At 34.7% G+C, this 17,657-nt stretch overlaps 1 long non-coding RNA gene across 2 annotated transcripts in view; it reads left to right on the top strand.

Moving 5' to 3' along the window:
• The window catches only part of LOC107986108 (uncharacterized), a 279,502-nt gene that overhangs the window by 130,953 nt on the left and 130,892 nt on the right, over nucleotides 1–17,657 (top strand). Inside the window, exon 4 of one of the 2 annotated variants that reach the window (XR_001740830.1) lies at nucleotides 14,587–16,631. The exons of the other annotated variant lie outside the window; for it this stretch is intronic. This is a non-coding gene — a long non-coding RNA (uncharacterized LOC107986108). Of the gene's footprint in view, nucleotides 1–14,586; nucleotides 16,632–17,657 lie in introns of those variants that run through there. 2 annotated transcript variants of the gene reach the window in all.

The raw sequence follows: 17,657 nt of genomic DNA, 5'->3' as shown, positions 1-17,657 counted from the left end.
ACATTTATACATGCACACATACATAGGTACACATATATATACACACACATAGTTAAACAGCACTAAATATTGTATAAGGAGAGGCAACAGAGAGACGGGTTGCCTCTTCGCTCCCTGTTACACTAGTCTGCTCATTCTAGAGAGATAGTCACTTTCAATAACCTTAACTGCCTATTTTGATATTTACATACATGTTTCCAATTAATATGTATGCATTATTTTTACATAGCGAGCTTCAAATCTCCTATGGTCTTTCTATTCTCCATCACAAATTTTGACTGTATGTATGTCATTGCTAATCCAAGTAATATACCATGATTATCTTTCTTCTCATTGCTTTTCCTGGAGTTACTATTTCCTCATTAAAAGAAATACAATTCTGAATTTTCTTCCCATTCACTCCAACAGTCTTTGAAAGTAAATTTCCCTGTAAACCTATCAGTTAACCATTTGTCACCCAGAGACCTCCTCTCCTGGATTGTTCAATTGGATTGATTGCTTTTAGTCCTATTTAACTGCTTTTGATCTTGGACTTCTCATTACCTTTCCACTGTGTAGGATCTTCTTATCTAAATCCTATGTGTATCAGTCGGGGTATGCTAACTGCTGAAATAAACTACTCAATTATTTTAGTGGCTTTAAATAATAAAAGAGTATTTCATACCCACTTCTTATCTAACTTAGGTCAGAGTGAGGACTCAGCTCCAAAAGCTGAGACTGACTCTTTGCACTGTGGGGATCTGCTGACATCTAGATTCCTGCAGAAAAGTTTCTACATGTGCCTGGCAGCCAAATAAAGAGAAAGAGTATGGAGAAAACTAAGACATCATTGAGGAGCAGATCTGGAATTAACATACCCCACTTTTGCCAACATCCACTGAACCTCAGAATTTGGACATGCTGCTTCAATGCTTTAGCAGCTAGTATTGTCCTTAAGAGCATGATGCTTTTTGAATAGTTAATTCTTTCTGTAGGTTGTGTGTGTGTGTGTGTGTGTGTATAAATTCTTTGAAGGGTTTGAAGGGCCGGGCGCAGTGGCTCTCGCCGGTAATCTCAGCACTTTGGGTGGCCAAGGCAGGTAGATCATGAGGTAAAGAGTTCGAGACCAGCCTGGCCAAGATGGTGAAACCCCGTCTCTACTAAAAATACAAAAATTAGCTGGGCGTGTTGATGGGCTCCTGTAATCCCAGCTACTTGGGAGGCTGAGGCCAGAGAATTACTTGAACCTTAGAGGCAGAGGTTGCAGTGAGCCGAGATCGCGCCACTGCACTCCAGCCTGGGTGACAGAGTGAAACTCCGTCTCAACAAAATAAATAAATAAAATAAATAAATCCTTTGAAGTCCATACCTCCTTTTTAAAATGTTTGGTGTTATGGATTATACAATGATGGGCTTTAGTGTGGATTTCTGTTATTCATTTTAATACTTAAGAGTCCCTTTCTATTTAGAGGTTCAATTGTTAAGTTCAGGGAAATACTGAAGAATGTATTTGAAAAGTCCTTCCTACTTCACTTTTCTGTCTTGTATTTCAGGAACTTCTTTTAAAAATGGATTAATCCCATAATTTTCTGTGCTTTGTCTACTATTGTTCATATTTCCCTTTGTGTTCATCTACCTAGAAGATTTTCTTGGCTCTTACAAGTATTCTGAGAATATCTTACTTTGACTATATTGTTCTACATTTGATTTTGATTTTCTTTTTGATAGTTAAATAATTTTAATCAAGTATTGCATTTTCCCTAACAGAAGTCAAAACTCCTCAGTAAGTTATATGATATACACAGATAAATCTTGCCTCCATTTCTGCTTTCTCTGCCCTGTTCTTTCTCTCTTCCATATGTAGTAATTATTACCAATTCCATTGTTACTTCTTGGAAATAAAAGCATATGTGTATGTCGCTGTGGGGGCATATAAAGAAAAAGATTGTTATCATCCCAAATCCCACCTAAAATTCTAAAGTTAGTTTTTTGGATACACTGTTTTATATCTTGATTTTTCTCTTTATTATAAGCTGTAGATATGCCTAAATTAATATAGGAAGACAATTTTTTATTCTTTACTATGGATGTACAGTAGCAGTATACATCAGGGTTTCTCAAACTCAGCACTATTGCTCCAGTCATTCTTTGGTATTTACAAGAAGAGAGAGGCAATATTTGTTCCAGGACCCCCTACAGATTCCAAAATCCCTGAATACTCAAGTCCTTTTTATAAAATGGCACAGTGTTTGAATATAACCTACACAAATCCTTCCACATATTTTCAATCACCTCTAGATTGCTGGTAATAACTAATACAATTAAATGCTATATACATAGTTGTTATATGACATTTTTATTGATATTATTTTTATTGCTGTATTGTTTTTATTTTTAAATATTTCAATTTGTAGTTGGTTGAATCTGAGGATGTGAATCCTGCTGATATGAAGGGCTGATTATATTTTGTACCAAATATTATTTCTTGTGAGGAGTTTGCAGATACATTGCGGAAAATTCACCAGCCTGTACTGACTAGAGGCCAGTAGGATCCTTGCCTTCAGTTGTGACAATCAAAAATCTATCCAAACATTGCCAATTATATTGTAAGGAGCAAAATCGTCTCACATTGAGATCCATTGGTATAGATATGGCACTGTTTTGTTATTTATTTATTTATTTATTTTTGAGAAAGGGTTTGATTCCCATCACTTAGGATGGAGTGAAGGCGATCTCGGCTCACTGCAGCCTCAACTTCCTGGGCCCAGGTGATTCTCCTACCTCAGCCTCTTGAGTAGCTAGGACTACAGGCCCGCACCACCATATCCAGCTGATCTGTGTGTGTGTGTGTGTGTGTGTGTGTGTGTGTGTGTGTTTTGTAGAGACAGAGTTTCTCCATGTTGCTCAGGCTGGTGTGAAACTCCTGGGCTCAAGTGATCCACCCACCTTGGCCTCCCAAAGTGCTGGGATTACAGGTGTGAGCCACGGTGTCCAGCCAAGTTTTGTTATTGTTGTTGCTGGGTTTTTTTCTACAGTTCTCCTATTATTGGACATTTGTGTTGTTTCCTAACTCATTTTTCAGTACAAATAATACCATTATAAATAATCTGGAAATATGTGATTTTATACCTGAAGAGGTAAAATAGATGCTTTTGAGTTGTTAGCCAGCTAAGTATTTTTGTTGTTCAAAGTTCTAATGTAAATATTCTTATCTGTACTGGGAGCCAGTTGGTGCATCTTGAATTCCCATTAACATTTCCAATGCATATTTAAATTGTTAAGTTTTTATTTAAAAGTGCTTTTCATTATATACCTTTTCTCTGAAGCTGAAATTCTTGTTCTCTTCCACTTTAACAAATTTAAGTAATTTTATGAACTTCTTTAATCATAGATATACCTAAGTGCAGATATACCATAGTTTGGTTATTGTTGTTCTTTCTGTTGTTGTTTTCAACAGTTCTCCTATTATTGGACAATTGGGGTTGTTTCATATATGTATATATGTTTCATATGTACATATATGAAACAACCCAATTGTACATATATACACATGTGTGTATATGTAATATATATTCAAGAATATATATATAATTCTTATGTATATACAAGCATGCTGTATGTCATATATGTGTGTTTGTGTTTGTTTCAGAATACAAAATTACTTATAATGATATGAATATTAAATCACTTTAAGACTTCTAGTTTATTTTATTTTAGGATATATCCTACAAGATATCTTGTGTAAAATTACCATTTTGAAAGTTAACTGAATTGAAATCTCAATTTACTCTTCCATTTAATCTTTTTAATTTTAAGGGTTTTTAAAAATATTTAAATATTTTGTGGAAAACATTAAAACATAAAAAGCGTTAAATTTTTAAAAACATTAAAATCAAAATATGGTTCCAAAGTCAAATATACAAATAAGGTATATTTAAAGATTTTAGATCCTGTGTTCATTCTGTTTTCTCATTCTCTTTGCCAGTCAATTTTGCTTGTTAGCTTTGTTTTACTTTTCTATTTAAAAAAATTAAATATGTATGTACTTATATTCCTTAAGCAACATGATATATTATTCACACTTATTTTTTCCTTGCTTTTTTTCACTAAATATATGCTAAAAATTGCTCATAGCAGTATGTTAAAGTAGTCTCCTTTTTTTTTTCTTTTGGAGACAGGGTGTCCCTCTGTCACCTAGACTGAAGTTTAGTGGTTCTATCATATCTCACTGCAACCTTGAACTCTGGGCTCAAGTGATCCTCCTGCTTCAGCCTGTGGAATAACTGAGACTACCGGTACATGCCACCACATCTGGCTAATTTAAAAAATATAAAGTTATTGTGAAGACTGGGTCTCACTATGTTGACCAGACTGATCTCAAACTCCTGTCCTCAAGCAAGGCTTTGGCCTTGGCTTCCCAAAGTGCTGGGTTTACAGGCATGAGTGACTGCTCCCAGCTGTCTTCTTGTTTTTGACCAGTGTTTAGCACTCTATCGTGTGGTTCTATCACAACTCATTTAAACAGTTTAAAAGGGAGTAAAGATGAAAACATGTGTTCAATCTGCCATTTGTATCTGAAGGTGTCACATCGGTTTAGGTTTACGTTGCAGCTCTTTAGTAGCTCTCAGGTGTATCAAATATGTTTGAAAATATAGTTTCATTTCTAAATATAATCATTTTAAACAGTAACAAAACAATTAAAAATGACAATAAACAATCTGAATTAAATGGTGGAAAAATGAATTGTTAATTCAGAGACTGTTCTCATCTAGGAGGGTAAGAATAGAGACAGTGTGTCAATATGATGATAGTTAAATTATGCCTTGACTACTGTGCAAAAAGAGCAGAGGCTTTTCCCTAAGGATGGGGAATAATGAGAAGAATTACATATATTTACTAATGTGCTTACAATGTTTAAAGAAAAAGTTGATTAAATTGGCTAACTACTAATATAAATAGTTTTTATATTAATAAATTAATATAAAATTCAATTTTATATTAATAAATATAAATTCATTAATAAAATTCAATTATGAATCAAATTGGCTAGTTAGAACTTTAGATGATATCTTCCAACATTGTCTTATAATTGTGTGAATATGTTTAACATGTATGGTAGTCAAGTTGGTATTTGTATTAGGTTTCTCTAGAGGGACACAACTAAGGGAAGAGAGATATATATATAAAGGAAAGTTTATTAAGTATTGACTCACACAATCACAAGGTCCCACAATAGGCCTTCTGCAGGCTGAAGGGCAAGGAGAGCCAGTCTGAGTTCCAAAACTGAAGAACTAGGAGTCTGATGTTTGAGGGCAGGAAGTATCCAGTACGGGAGAAAGATGTAGGCTGGGAGGCTAGGCCAGTCTCTCTTTTGACATTTTTCTGCCTCCTTATATCCTAGCCACACTGGCAGCTGATTAGATTGTGCCCACTCAGATTAAGGGTGGGTCAGCATTTCCCAGCCCACTGACTCAAATGTTAATCTCCTTTGGCAACACCCTCACAGACACACCCAGGATCAATACTTTGTATCCTTCTATCCAATCAACTTGACACACAGTATTAACCATCAAAAGCTTTAGACCACTTATGGCCATTCTTCATTCAGTGTCACAGCATAAAGATATACAGATCTCACACTAAAATTTTTGCTAAATAATGTAGATTGCTGGCTCAAGTTTTACTTGTAGTGACAATAATAAAATAAGGCTGCTACTCTTTTTTCCTCTCTCTTTTCAAAGTTTAACATCACTTGGCAGTTGTTTGTATAAAAACGGTTCATTGTGCACTGATTACCAACTTGTCTGAGTCCAGTGAGACAGAAGACCAACATACACAACTTACATGAAATGGATTTATTACTTACAGACAGGTAATAGAGACAACAGAAACTGGTTTCCAAAGGCTCAGGAAAGCTGCCTAGGGTAGATGGAGGCTGGTCTGCACTTGCTCCACTTGAACCACAGCTGAGGAAACCTAGAAAGTAACCTGTCCTAGGTTTTATACCCCAGCAGTCACATAAAGTGCTGAGCTGAAGCATTGAAGAACATCCTGTTTCTAGGGGGGACTGGAACACTGCTCAGGCCGTTCTGGTCAATCCCTCCTTATCTCAGGATTTTGCATTCCCAGCAAGTTCTACAGTTATTCCCAAGAACTACAAGCAGAAAATAGGGAGGAACTGGGTTGATCCAAGGCCACATGGAAAATTGGCCTGTAGTATAAAATACTGTTCTCTCTCCTTAAGTAAATTCTTCATTTTAAGGTTAGGCAGCTTCTAGCTGCATAGTTATTTTTCTGTACTTTTTCAAAAACCTCAGTTTCTGAACCTCTCTGCTTCTGTGGGATCTTGCAAAGCACTGAATTGTCCAATTTTAAATATGTTTTGTATCTGTTTGTTTTTATGTGTTTCTGTTGTTGCAAGAAACATCATTGGAACACAAGTGGGTAATTGTTGTATTAGATTTCAATGAAGAAAATATGTTAATATATAAAGACTTTTATTTGCTGAAAAGGCAGATGAAAAATTTGCAATCAATGTTAACTCGACATAAGGTAGACAACTGCATAATATTCTTAATATACAGTTCACTGATAAATCAATATATCATGACTCAATAAGAAAATTGAACATAATATGAACAATTGATAATGAAAAATACCCAAATGTCTCATAAGCATATGTAAAACAAAAACATTCAACTTCATGAGTTACTAAAGAGATGAAAATTAAATGTGAGGCCCTATTTTTTACCAAAATATTAAAGTGATTAAAATGACAATAATACCCTCAGTGAGGGTTAAAGGAAGTGGAATTTTCTCTAATATATTGCTAATGGGATTGTATATTAGCAATATAATTCTGGATTGAGATTTGGAAGAATATTTCAAGAGTCTTAAATTTTGTGCTCATCTTCAGCAAATGATGCTCCAGTCAGTAAACATCTTAAGGAAATAATAATGAATGCCTAAAGAATATTTGTAAAAGAAAGTGCATTATGCTTAACAATTAACAGGGTCCCCATAAGCCCACCTTCTTGTAACGCCCTGTGTGTATCCCTTCCACTTAAGGGTGGCTGGACACAGCGACTTGCTTCTAATAATGGGATGCAATGAAAGTGATGGTTTGTTTTGACTTCTGAAATTAGGCTTTGAAAAATTGTGGCTTCCATGTTGCTCACACATTTTCTCTGGATCTTCTCACTATTTGGCTCAGATGAAGCAAGTTGCCATGCTCTGCGTTTCTGAATAAGGAGACCCATGTGTCAAGGAACTGAAGGTAGCTGCATTCTTCCAAACATTCTTCCCAATCTCAATCCAGAATTATATTGCTAATATACAATCCCATCAACAATACATGAGAGAAAAGCTTCAATCAGGGTATTCTTATCATTTTAATCACTTTAATATTTTGGTAAAAAATAGGGTCTCATGTTTAATTTTCATCTCTTTGGTAGCTACCAGCCAACAGACAGTGAAGAACTGAAGCCCTCAATCCAGCAACCCACAAAGAATCACTAAGATGGCTTAGAATTGAGCCATGCTCCAACTGAACCTTGAGATGACTCTGGCCCTGGCTGACACCATAGTCTTAGCCTTGTGTGGCTCCTTGGTCTAGAGAACCCAGGTTATCATACCCACATAAACCATAAGACAATAAATACAGGTTCTCTTAAGCTGCTAAATTCTGAGGTAATTTTATATGTAGGCATAGAAAATTAATAAATATGCAAAATGAACTTGTCATAGAGATGAGTGAGAAAAATGTGCTCCAAGTAATAACAAGGCAATTTATCATCCCAGTTTAGGTATAAAAACAACCACTCACACACACAAACACACAAACACATGCACTAAAAATGTCTGGGAGAACATCAATAAAATGATAACTTACTATTTTTGAACTATAAGATAATACCTGATTTTAAAATTATTTTCCTGGATATTTGTATATTTTTCAACTTTATAATAATAAATTTATTTTAATCCTGATATCTAAGTGAAAAGAGGAAAAAGAAAACACAGAGGGGTAGTAGAACAAAACACTTCTAGAGTCCAGCTCTCAACACTGCATGTACTTGGAAATCAGTAATTCTGGGTGAAATTTATCATGAATTTAACAGATATTTCCAGAAATTTCTCCAGAACAAAGAAACTTAGGATATTTTCTTATGTACTGACGTCTGTATCTATGGTAGACACTGTTTTTTGTTTTACATTTTCACTTTAAGTTTCATCAACATGGAATAATGAACAAAAGGAGCAATTATGTCCAAATCCAGACAATGTAACAGAAAAAGTAGATAACTAAGAATATTTCACTTTGATTTACATAACTGTTGAGCACATTATCCCAAGAGAGAAATGATCAATGGAAGGGAGCTGGGGAAACAAGATAAAACTGTGTGACGAGGCCTATCAGAGTGAAAACGTCAACAGGGCACCCATGGAATAGTTGCTTGCCTGCTGCAGAAAGGTCACTTACCAAAGCAGATTAGTTTAATATGCCAAACCTATTTCATGTTTTAGTTACATTCAGCTTCTCTAAAGGTCTATATTATGAATCATTTGGTGCACTATAGACATGCTAGCTTGAGACTGAACAAGAGATAACATACCCTGGAGCTGACACTATCCATCTTTTTAATACGTCTAATAATGGAATAGTCAGACATACTAAATTATACCATTTTATGTATTTGTGAAACTGTAGACTGATTTGGCTGTGCAAGTCTTTCTCTCTTGTAAATTTTTTTTCAACCCTTATCCGTGGTGAATTTGAATGTGGTATCCCTGGAAGAAAAGCTGTGAAAGCAAAGGACATTTTTTTTGCATATGTTATTAAAATAGAAATAGCAAGAATTATTTCCTTTGATGTTTCTAAGCAAAAAGAATTGATGGAAAATTATTTATGGTAGATTTGATAATAAAAAGAGGTCACTACAGTTTAGTAATTTAATTTTTGGTCTTCAAAGTTAGCAGCCCTGAATTTGCTTTTTAGTTTTAACACTGGCTATTTAAGAAAATTTTGGATAGTGCATTTAAAACACTTCGTGCAGTATCTGGCACTGAATAACTACCCAACAGATGTTACAAATGTGTGCATCTGTTTATCTACGTGTATTCTCATTGTTGCAGTGAATTCTTTTAGCTTCATCATCAAATATTCATTTAACAACCACCGAGTTCCTAGCACCAGGTCATAAATTAAGATTACCTCTTTAGGCCTATTGCAGGGTACCTTACACCTACAATCCCAGCACTTTTGGAGGCTCAGCTGGGCGGATTACTTGAGGTCAGGATTTCAAGACCAGCCTGGCCAACATGGTGAAACCCTGTCTCTACTAAAAATACAAAAAATAATCTGGCATGGGACTGTAATCCCAGCTACTCGGGAGGCTGAGGAAGAAGAATCGCTTGAACTTGGGAGGCAGAGGTTGCAGTGAGCATATATCACACCACTGCACTCCAGCCTGGGTGACAGAGAGAGACTCCATCTGAAAAACATAATAATAATAATACCTCTTTATACTTAGTTGTGCCTACTTTTAAGTATATAGCTTAACGTTGTCTGTAAAGTTATTTTTTAGTTCTGATTCCAAAGGTTCTTTACATAGGATGTATTTCTGAGTTGATTTGTTGGTAGGGGGTTCTTGGCTTTCATTTTACATTCCAGCTATATTCTCAGGGCATCAATTAAAGTTAAATTGCCAAATTTCTTTCCTCTGGAAGAACACAAAGTATTTAAAAATATAGTTTCTATCATGTTTATGCTTCTCTGTGTTACCAAAGCGCACGTACTTAAATCATTGCCAACAGCAATTTCTGTGCCACCTCAGTTTTTCTTTTAGACCTTCTCATGAAAAGTATTAAATAAATTAGAGGGAAAATTACAAAGATACTTGTCATTCCTCCTTTTTTAAAAAAAAAACATGAAAGCTAGTATTTATTTTGGTACTGGGAAAATCCCTGAAATTCCATGTGGCTGCCACATACGCTGTATTTATGCCAGGACACAATGAAAATGCACCTCCTTTGAAGCATGTACTCATAGATGCTCTACCTGATTAGTCAGTGAGCAAAAGAGATAATTTTTTTGACAAGTACTACCACTTGTGAAGAGGCTTTGTAAGAACTTTATTCTTTTGATCTAAGCCATAAATAAAACAGAGATCTAAGTCTGATATTGTCTCACATATGTGTGAATAATGGCTGTTTTGCACTTCAATGCAAGACCTTTCGGTATTTTCATTAACAAACCCAGTCCAAAGCACTGCAATCTTGAGAGAGACAGAAAGAGAAGACCACCCTGTAGTGTATCTAATGCAAAAATTCTGGAACCAGAATATGGGAGGAATTTCTAGAAGCTGTAACTGCCTTCCTATATGTAGCAGACAGTTAGAGCTGAGCTGTGAGGTAAGAAGAGCACTGGATTAAGATGAAGAATCAGGTTTTCAGTCTAAGTGCCGCCATTAGCTTGCTTTATCAAGTTTGCTATCTGTTTAACTCTTATACCCTATTTTCCTCATCTGTAAAACAAATTAAAAAGAGGCCAGACAAGAATACCTAAGGTTCAACTGTGATCCTGTACTCTGATTTCTCTTGCCTCTGTGTTTTCTAAATCTATAATGCATGTCTCAGCTTTTGTTTTGGAAGAGAATATTGATTCGGTTCATAATTTATCATCCATTCTCATGAATTGGTCAAGGTTCTCTGGACTTCAGTTCTCCATAAGAGCCCTGGCTGTTGCTGAAAAGGCTTCACAGTTTTGCTCAGGTTTCTTAAAAAGTTTCTTTTTGGCATCCTTATAGGTTTTATTTTTCATCCTCTCTTGGCACCTCTCTGCAGTTACAGAAACTCTGCCTAGATGTTTTCCTGTACATCAGGTTGCCTCAACATGTTACTCAGGATATACTGAAGGTCAGCTTCCCAGATTCATTGCTCAAGTACACCATCCTAGCTGACAGGCCTGGGAGTCTTCATCAGCAGTGACTATACCTAAGCCACTTGATCATATTGAACTTGTTACCTCATTTTATAAATGACCACTTTTTCTTTCTTATGGAGGTATTGTGAGCACCAGATGAGACAACCTATCAAATTTCAAGTAGTAGACTGTTCTCCAAAATCCAGAAAAAAAAAATAGCTAACTCTATGAGATGACAGGGTGTCTGATAGTAATCATGGGCATTTTTTTTTTTTTGAAATGGCAATACCAAAATTCCTGCAAGTAGTCCCTAATATCTATTGATGGTGAGTGCAAGTGTCAGGCCTTGTTAGGAGCATCGCTTGGCTTGGATGCATAGGTCTCACTGAGGCTGCTAGGTGGGGTGACTTAATCACTCACAAGAAAATCAATGTGCTAGTCATTCTGACTTTGAAACCAGCAATCTGTCAACAAAGTACTATAATCAACTTATACACATTGCAAAGGCCGCAGAAACTTTTGTCAGGTATTTTTAGTGTGTAGAAATATGAAAAACCATCTTCTAGCAATTTTAAAATAAATAAAGCCATATTTCAACTTATGAATGACATAGTCAATTTCCAGATGTTTTAGCTCAGAGAATTTTTATAGGCTCTGAGTTGGCATAAATGTAGGCTCACGAGATTTAAAAAATACAAATTCTGAGAGATATTTTTTACCCTATTGAAGAATAATGTGCCTTCAAAGGAAGAAACAGACTAAAGAATCTTCATGATTTTAAAATTTATTCCTTCTCTTCCCATTGTACAACATTTCGCAAATTAAATAACTTGTCTTGATAAAGCCACAGTGTATTATAGTCAGTAAAATAAAAAATAGGAATTCTTAGAAGATGCAGTATGCGTTAAGAATGTCTCTGGTGTACATGTGTTAAAAATTTGTGCAAATGTGTGCATGCTTTAATGGGTTTTCTTTGCTTTATTTAGATAGTGCTTACATGAACCTGCAAAATCCTTAGAATGGAACAATGTTTTCTTTGCTGACCCATTCTGGGTTTGCTTAGAATTCTGACAGACTGATAATTCTAATGAATGTTTATCTCTCACTGGCTGAGCATGGAAAACTATACCAAAAATGCTTTCAGAAATCACATAATTAAAATGTTTTGTTTTTATGTCTGTTTATATATTTATTTTTCTATATCTCAACTAGAGATATAGATTTTATTTTTCTATATTTCAACTATATGTCTGGTATACTACAATACATATTGTGAAATAAATGGACAAAAAATAAATCAATAAATTTTTCTTTGAATAAGCAAACAAATAAACAATTGAATAATAAAACAAGTCTCACCTCTTATAGCTTGTGTATCTTGGATTTAATAATTTTCCCATGACACTTACCTTTAATTTGGGGTGATCTATTGGGATATCATGGACTTAAAAATCAGCAACCACACAAGTAAATCCAAGTTTCATCACATTGTATAATCTTGGATATATCTCAGTTCTACTTTTCCATTTTTTTATCTGTAAATGCAATAATTTTGATGTTTCCATGTTTCTCTGAGATAGATTGAAATATCAAATTATCATCACCTAGCTATGTACAGAGGCTAAATCTCAATAAATGCATATTTTTAATCATTTCGAGTGCCAAGACGTCTAAGAAAAGCAAAGACTTCCAAAGGAAGACAAGAAAAAGAACAGTTAATTTTATTTGGATTTTCTTTCAAGGTATACCAATTGAAAAGGGGCTGGATAGAATAACTTATAGTCCTACCCCAATAACAAAGCTCAAATCATACTTAACATCATCTAGGAATGACCCCGGGTCTCTTTTCGAATTTTTCATGGCTACTCCTCCATATGCTTGTATTGGAGTTGTTTCTTTTATTCACTAAACATAACTGTGCCAGAACATATTTTCTTCTTATATTTAATTTTTTTCTTCTCTTAAAAGTAGACACATCACTATTTAGTACTGAGACTTCAAATACTGAAGTAAACAGAGAAATGGTTAATAATAAAATAAACAAATATTAGAATATCATATACTTATACCATTATTATGGTGATGGACTCCTTTGTTTCTTTCTGTCCTTCTTCTAAGCTGACAAATGATGATGTAGACTGAAGCCATCATCTTTAATCTTAAGATAGGACCTTACCACTTTCCCTCACTAGCCGAGATCTCCTTTCTGACCCTTCTTTTAGTGATGACCTGTAGACTCTACCTTTCAAGACTGGATTTCTTTCCAGCTTAAAGATTCCAGCAGTACAGAGTGTCATTTCTGTCAGTTGAGTTGATTTCTTGCATATCTGAGGCCACCAGAATGGTGACCTATTTTATAAGCATACTCAGTTCAAAAGTGGACTTTTTGGCACTTCCTCTTGAATACTGTAATTTATTTTGTTGATAATTAATATTAACATCATTTATAGCTAGGAGGTATATTTGCATAAGGCAACTCACATAAAGTAAAAGGGAAATAATATGAATACTGACCACAATAATTGACATAAAAACTGCAAAATTACTTGTGTAAGTCCTTAAATTAATTGATTTTATAACCTAATATGGACAGAGAGGAAACTATTTGTCACTAAAATAATTAGCTATTGGAAAGAAAGAAATATATTCTGATTCTAGAAATCTTGATTATCACACTGAAGTAAATATAATATGCTTATAATTGTATCCTTGTTTTATTTCACATTTAATAAATTAAGTATGAAATATTTTTATAGTATTTCAAAATATGTTTTAGACTTCCTACTAACACTATACTAAAACTATATTTGTATATTTATATCATACAAAACAAGAGAAGTCAGTGGGCTTCCAAATCTTTCATCGCCGTATGCAATTCCCCTTTCCAGGCAATTTGCAGCTCTTAAGCCTCTTCTGTGAAGAAATTCTGAAACCATGACAGTTTCCATGGTATTTATATTTTAAAGCTGAAATAGAACTTACAGTGGTTGGTGTACAATAGCCATTCGTAATACCAGGTTTTAAGGGCCTTAGGGCTCTTTATATGGACCTTTCAACTTTTAGTTAGCATGGTGCTTCTGCAAATAATCTTTCTGCCCTGCACATGTCTTTTTCCAGTGAGTTAGTTTTGCATAATTGTAAATAATTTGAATCTCAGAAGCAGAGCTCCAGAGCTATAGTTTTACAGAGATTATTGGAAGAACATTTGGGCACAACAAACTCGGTAAATTCATGCTCACATGGTCTTGCCGTTTTTTTGTTCATCTTTTTTTTCAAATGTCATTATCTCTTTGCTAATTATAATTACTGTACTTTAAGCTCTTATCACTCTGAGTATTGTTATCTGTGTACCGTTTCTCACTATTGCTGTAACTCCCAAAGGCAATCTGCTAAAAAAAAAAAAATTCTCATTTGAACAGAAGCCATCAGAGCACAAAGCTGGAATAATATTGCGTAAGGTAATTAAAAACAAATAGATAATGCCTTCCAGTATTGCAGCAGAACTTTACATATTACCATAAGCTTTTCTGTATGAAATCATTAGAGAATAATAATAAAGGGCCGATTTTGAACTTGTGCAATGACATAGTGCCTAACACTCCCTGGATCATATATTAATTTTGCAATCAATTTGTTATTTATCTGAGGGTATTAATTTTTCTTTTTCTGTTCTCTTTGAGTAGGTTCAGCATCACAATCTTATTAAGGATAGAGAAATAACTTGAGATTCTGAGAAGAAAAATAAATAGTAAGTTCCAAGTCTCTTATTTTTCCCATACTTCTATACGTTATTCTTATACGCTTTATGCTATAAACACCTTGGGAAACTCCCTTTTTCCCATAAAATGATTTCTTATCTGGCTCAGAGACTTCGTGTGTGGTCAGATAAAAGGAATGAGCTAATTATTTGAAGTCAGAAGACACAACCTAGTACCAGACTGGAGAGTTCAAATGCAATGCACGCTTTCCTTTATCTTTCAAGTGAAGAGGCCAGGAAGATTTTTTTTGATGATATAAGCTCCCATTGGCAATCAGACATTCACTCCAACTTCACCTCCCTTCCTAGCCTCTTTCTTTTGCTGTAAGGATATTTTGCAATAGAGCTATAATAACTGAAAGCAAACTGGGCGTCATTAGACCAGAAAGGGTACCACAGTAAACACTTTGCCTTCTCAAAGATTCATTTCTAAAGAACCTCACCCCTATCAATTTCCGTCAGTAAGCTGCTACACATTTCATGTTATTCTCATAGAATTCCTCTTTTCTTTTAAAGGGCTGTGACTTGGTCACTGGAGGTGGTGTGGGAGAATGAGAGAGTGAAATACATAGGTCATTTATTTAATTATTCCAATTACTTCCCTCTAGATTCTTCCAGATGATTCAAATCTGTCCATGAAAATAAGGAGTGTCTCAAGGTCCTATCACATAAGTAAATCATGTATCAAAGTATAGTTTGTTTCCAAATATAGCTGACTCTAAAGGAAAAACAAATTGAAAAGAAAAATCTCTTGTTGGAATGTGAAAGAAGAAAAAATGTTGCAGACGTCCAGGAAATACCATCACTAACATAAAATAAGAATCTTTTTTCTCTCTGTAAAGAATCACAATTCTCTCATTGCCTTTAGCTCCATGTAATATTATTAGTCACTGTAGAAAGTTTTTATAAACTCTGTCTTAACAGATCTTGTCTGTCATTTCTATGTATCTGCCTGCCTCAATGTTTTCCCCCTTTCCTTCACATTCCAATAAACTCCTTTTCTTTTTTTTTTTTTACATTCCAATGTCTTTGAATAGAACCTTACTTTCAATTGAATCTTAAGCAGGGGTTTCTAGTTCTTCTGTCCTGGCATTTGGCCCACAAGGAATATTTCCCTGAGGGCTGGTGCTTTTGCTGAATGGGGGAGGGAACACTTCTTCTATAAGCCATTTTTTTCTCTCTACTGGGGCAATTTGCCCATTCCTTTAGTCTACAGAGAGAGAGTTTGGGTGGCTGCCACTTAGGGTTTCTCCCAAAGGGCCATTTTCCCAGAGGGAGCTGAGCCTGGGAAAGAAGCAAGAGCAGGATTCCCTTTAGTTCCAGAGTTGTGAGCTTTTTTCTTTACTTAGTTGTAGAAGAAACACTGCCAACTTGCCACCTTGTTCCTTTTTTCTATTCTTATTTTAAAACAATTCTAAATATAGTAGAAGATTCCATTTCTTGGCAAGAAATAGTGTAAAGGAACTTTTTCAATCACTTTAGGAAGAAGACAGTGTTGATGTGGTGATTGGTATTGTGGCTATAAAATAATGACCATTTCCTGTCCAAAAATGTTACTTGGCATAGGTTTCCAACTCTGGATAGCAAGAAGGGATTAAGGAAGCTAGACATCGGCAGTTCTCCACATTTCAGTGTGCCCATTATCAATTTTCTCTGCCTCTTCACTTTCTGTAACTCTAAATAACTTGAAAGTTCTATGTAGTACACACACACACACACACACACACACACACACACACACACACAAATAGATATACTTAACCAAAACAAACAAACAAACAAACAGAAAATACATATTTAAGGCAATATTCTCACAACCCTACTGTCAAATACCATTCCTTCCCAGTATGCTTTGTTCAGCCTTTGGAGTATTTTTTCCTGGATTTGTTCAATGCCTTTGAATGTATATACACAAATATATAGAATGATTTTAGATCTATTGATATCATTTTGTGAACATTGTGCTGACTTGATCTTTCTTTTTCTTTTTTTTTTTTTTGCCAAATCCTATATCTTGAGCATTAAAAAATACATTTTCCTCATTTTTTAAAGCATTTTGTCAATGAACATAATACATATAACACATTATCCATTCTCCTTGCTTTGTTTTCATTATTGCAATTTCTACTACCTTTCCCTATTAATTAGATAATTTTAATCATTTCCTATAGGATGCACAAGTTTCCCAGAGATTTTTATTAAATATTATTATTTGTTGTTAAACAAGCCCTAAAGACAGAGGATTCCACACAATTTCCTACTTGATTTTTTTAAAAAAGAGGGAACAATAACTTATGAATAATTTTTCTAACCAGACATTTCTATAGGCTATGTTAATAATCTGAAAAAGCTCAAGGGAAGTCCAAGTGACTTGAAGTAGAAATTAATCTGGCTTCTTCATGTGAAGGTGTTCTCCTTTTATAGAAGTTAAGATATTAAGAAATGTCAATCAACCTATTAAATGTATGTCTTTAATTTGTACTTTTTTGGGTTTAGCAATATTTTTCTCATAAAACATGCAAAGATTATGCATTCAATATATATTTATTAAGTTCCTAAATATGTTCAGGCATAGTACTAGATGTAGGGCATGCAAAATCATTAAATTCTATTCCTAGTTTCACAGTATAATGAGGAGACACATATATAAAATTACTTTTTAACGTTATGGATATGAAACTATAAAATATCCTAAGAAACACTGGTTCTGGAAAAGTTAGAATCCAAATCGGGAGATGCCATGGGCTTTATAGAGAATAGATAAATCTAGAGTGGTGGTTGATAATTGGCACAAAATCTGGGAGAAACCCTTGTGGAGACATAAGGTGCCAAGGTTTGTCATCATAGGAATTTTAGGGGTTGGAGGGATACGTTTAGATGACAGGAGTAGGAGATGTACAAGGTCCAGTCGAGGGCATAAGTAAAAGGAAGAACTTTTTAATTGAAAAAAAAAATTTCCTTATTGATCTTGGAGAGACTGTTACCAAACTTTTTTCC

The sequence above is a fragment of the Homo sapiens genome, chromosome 3 (genome assembly GCF_000001405.40).
Source record: "Homo sapiens chromosome 3, GRCh38.p14 Primary Assembly".
Taxonomy (NCBI): domain Eukaryota; kingdom Metazoa; phylum Chordata; class Mammalia; order Primates; family Hominidae; genus Homo; species Homo sapiens.
This window is presented reverse-complemented; position numbering and strand designations above follow the sequence as displayed.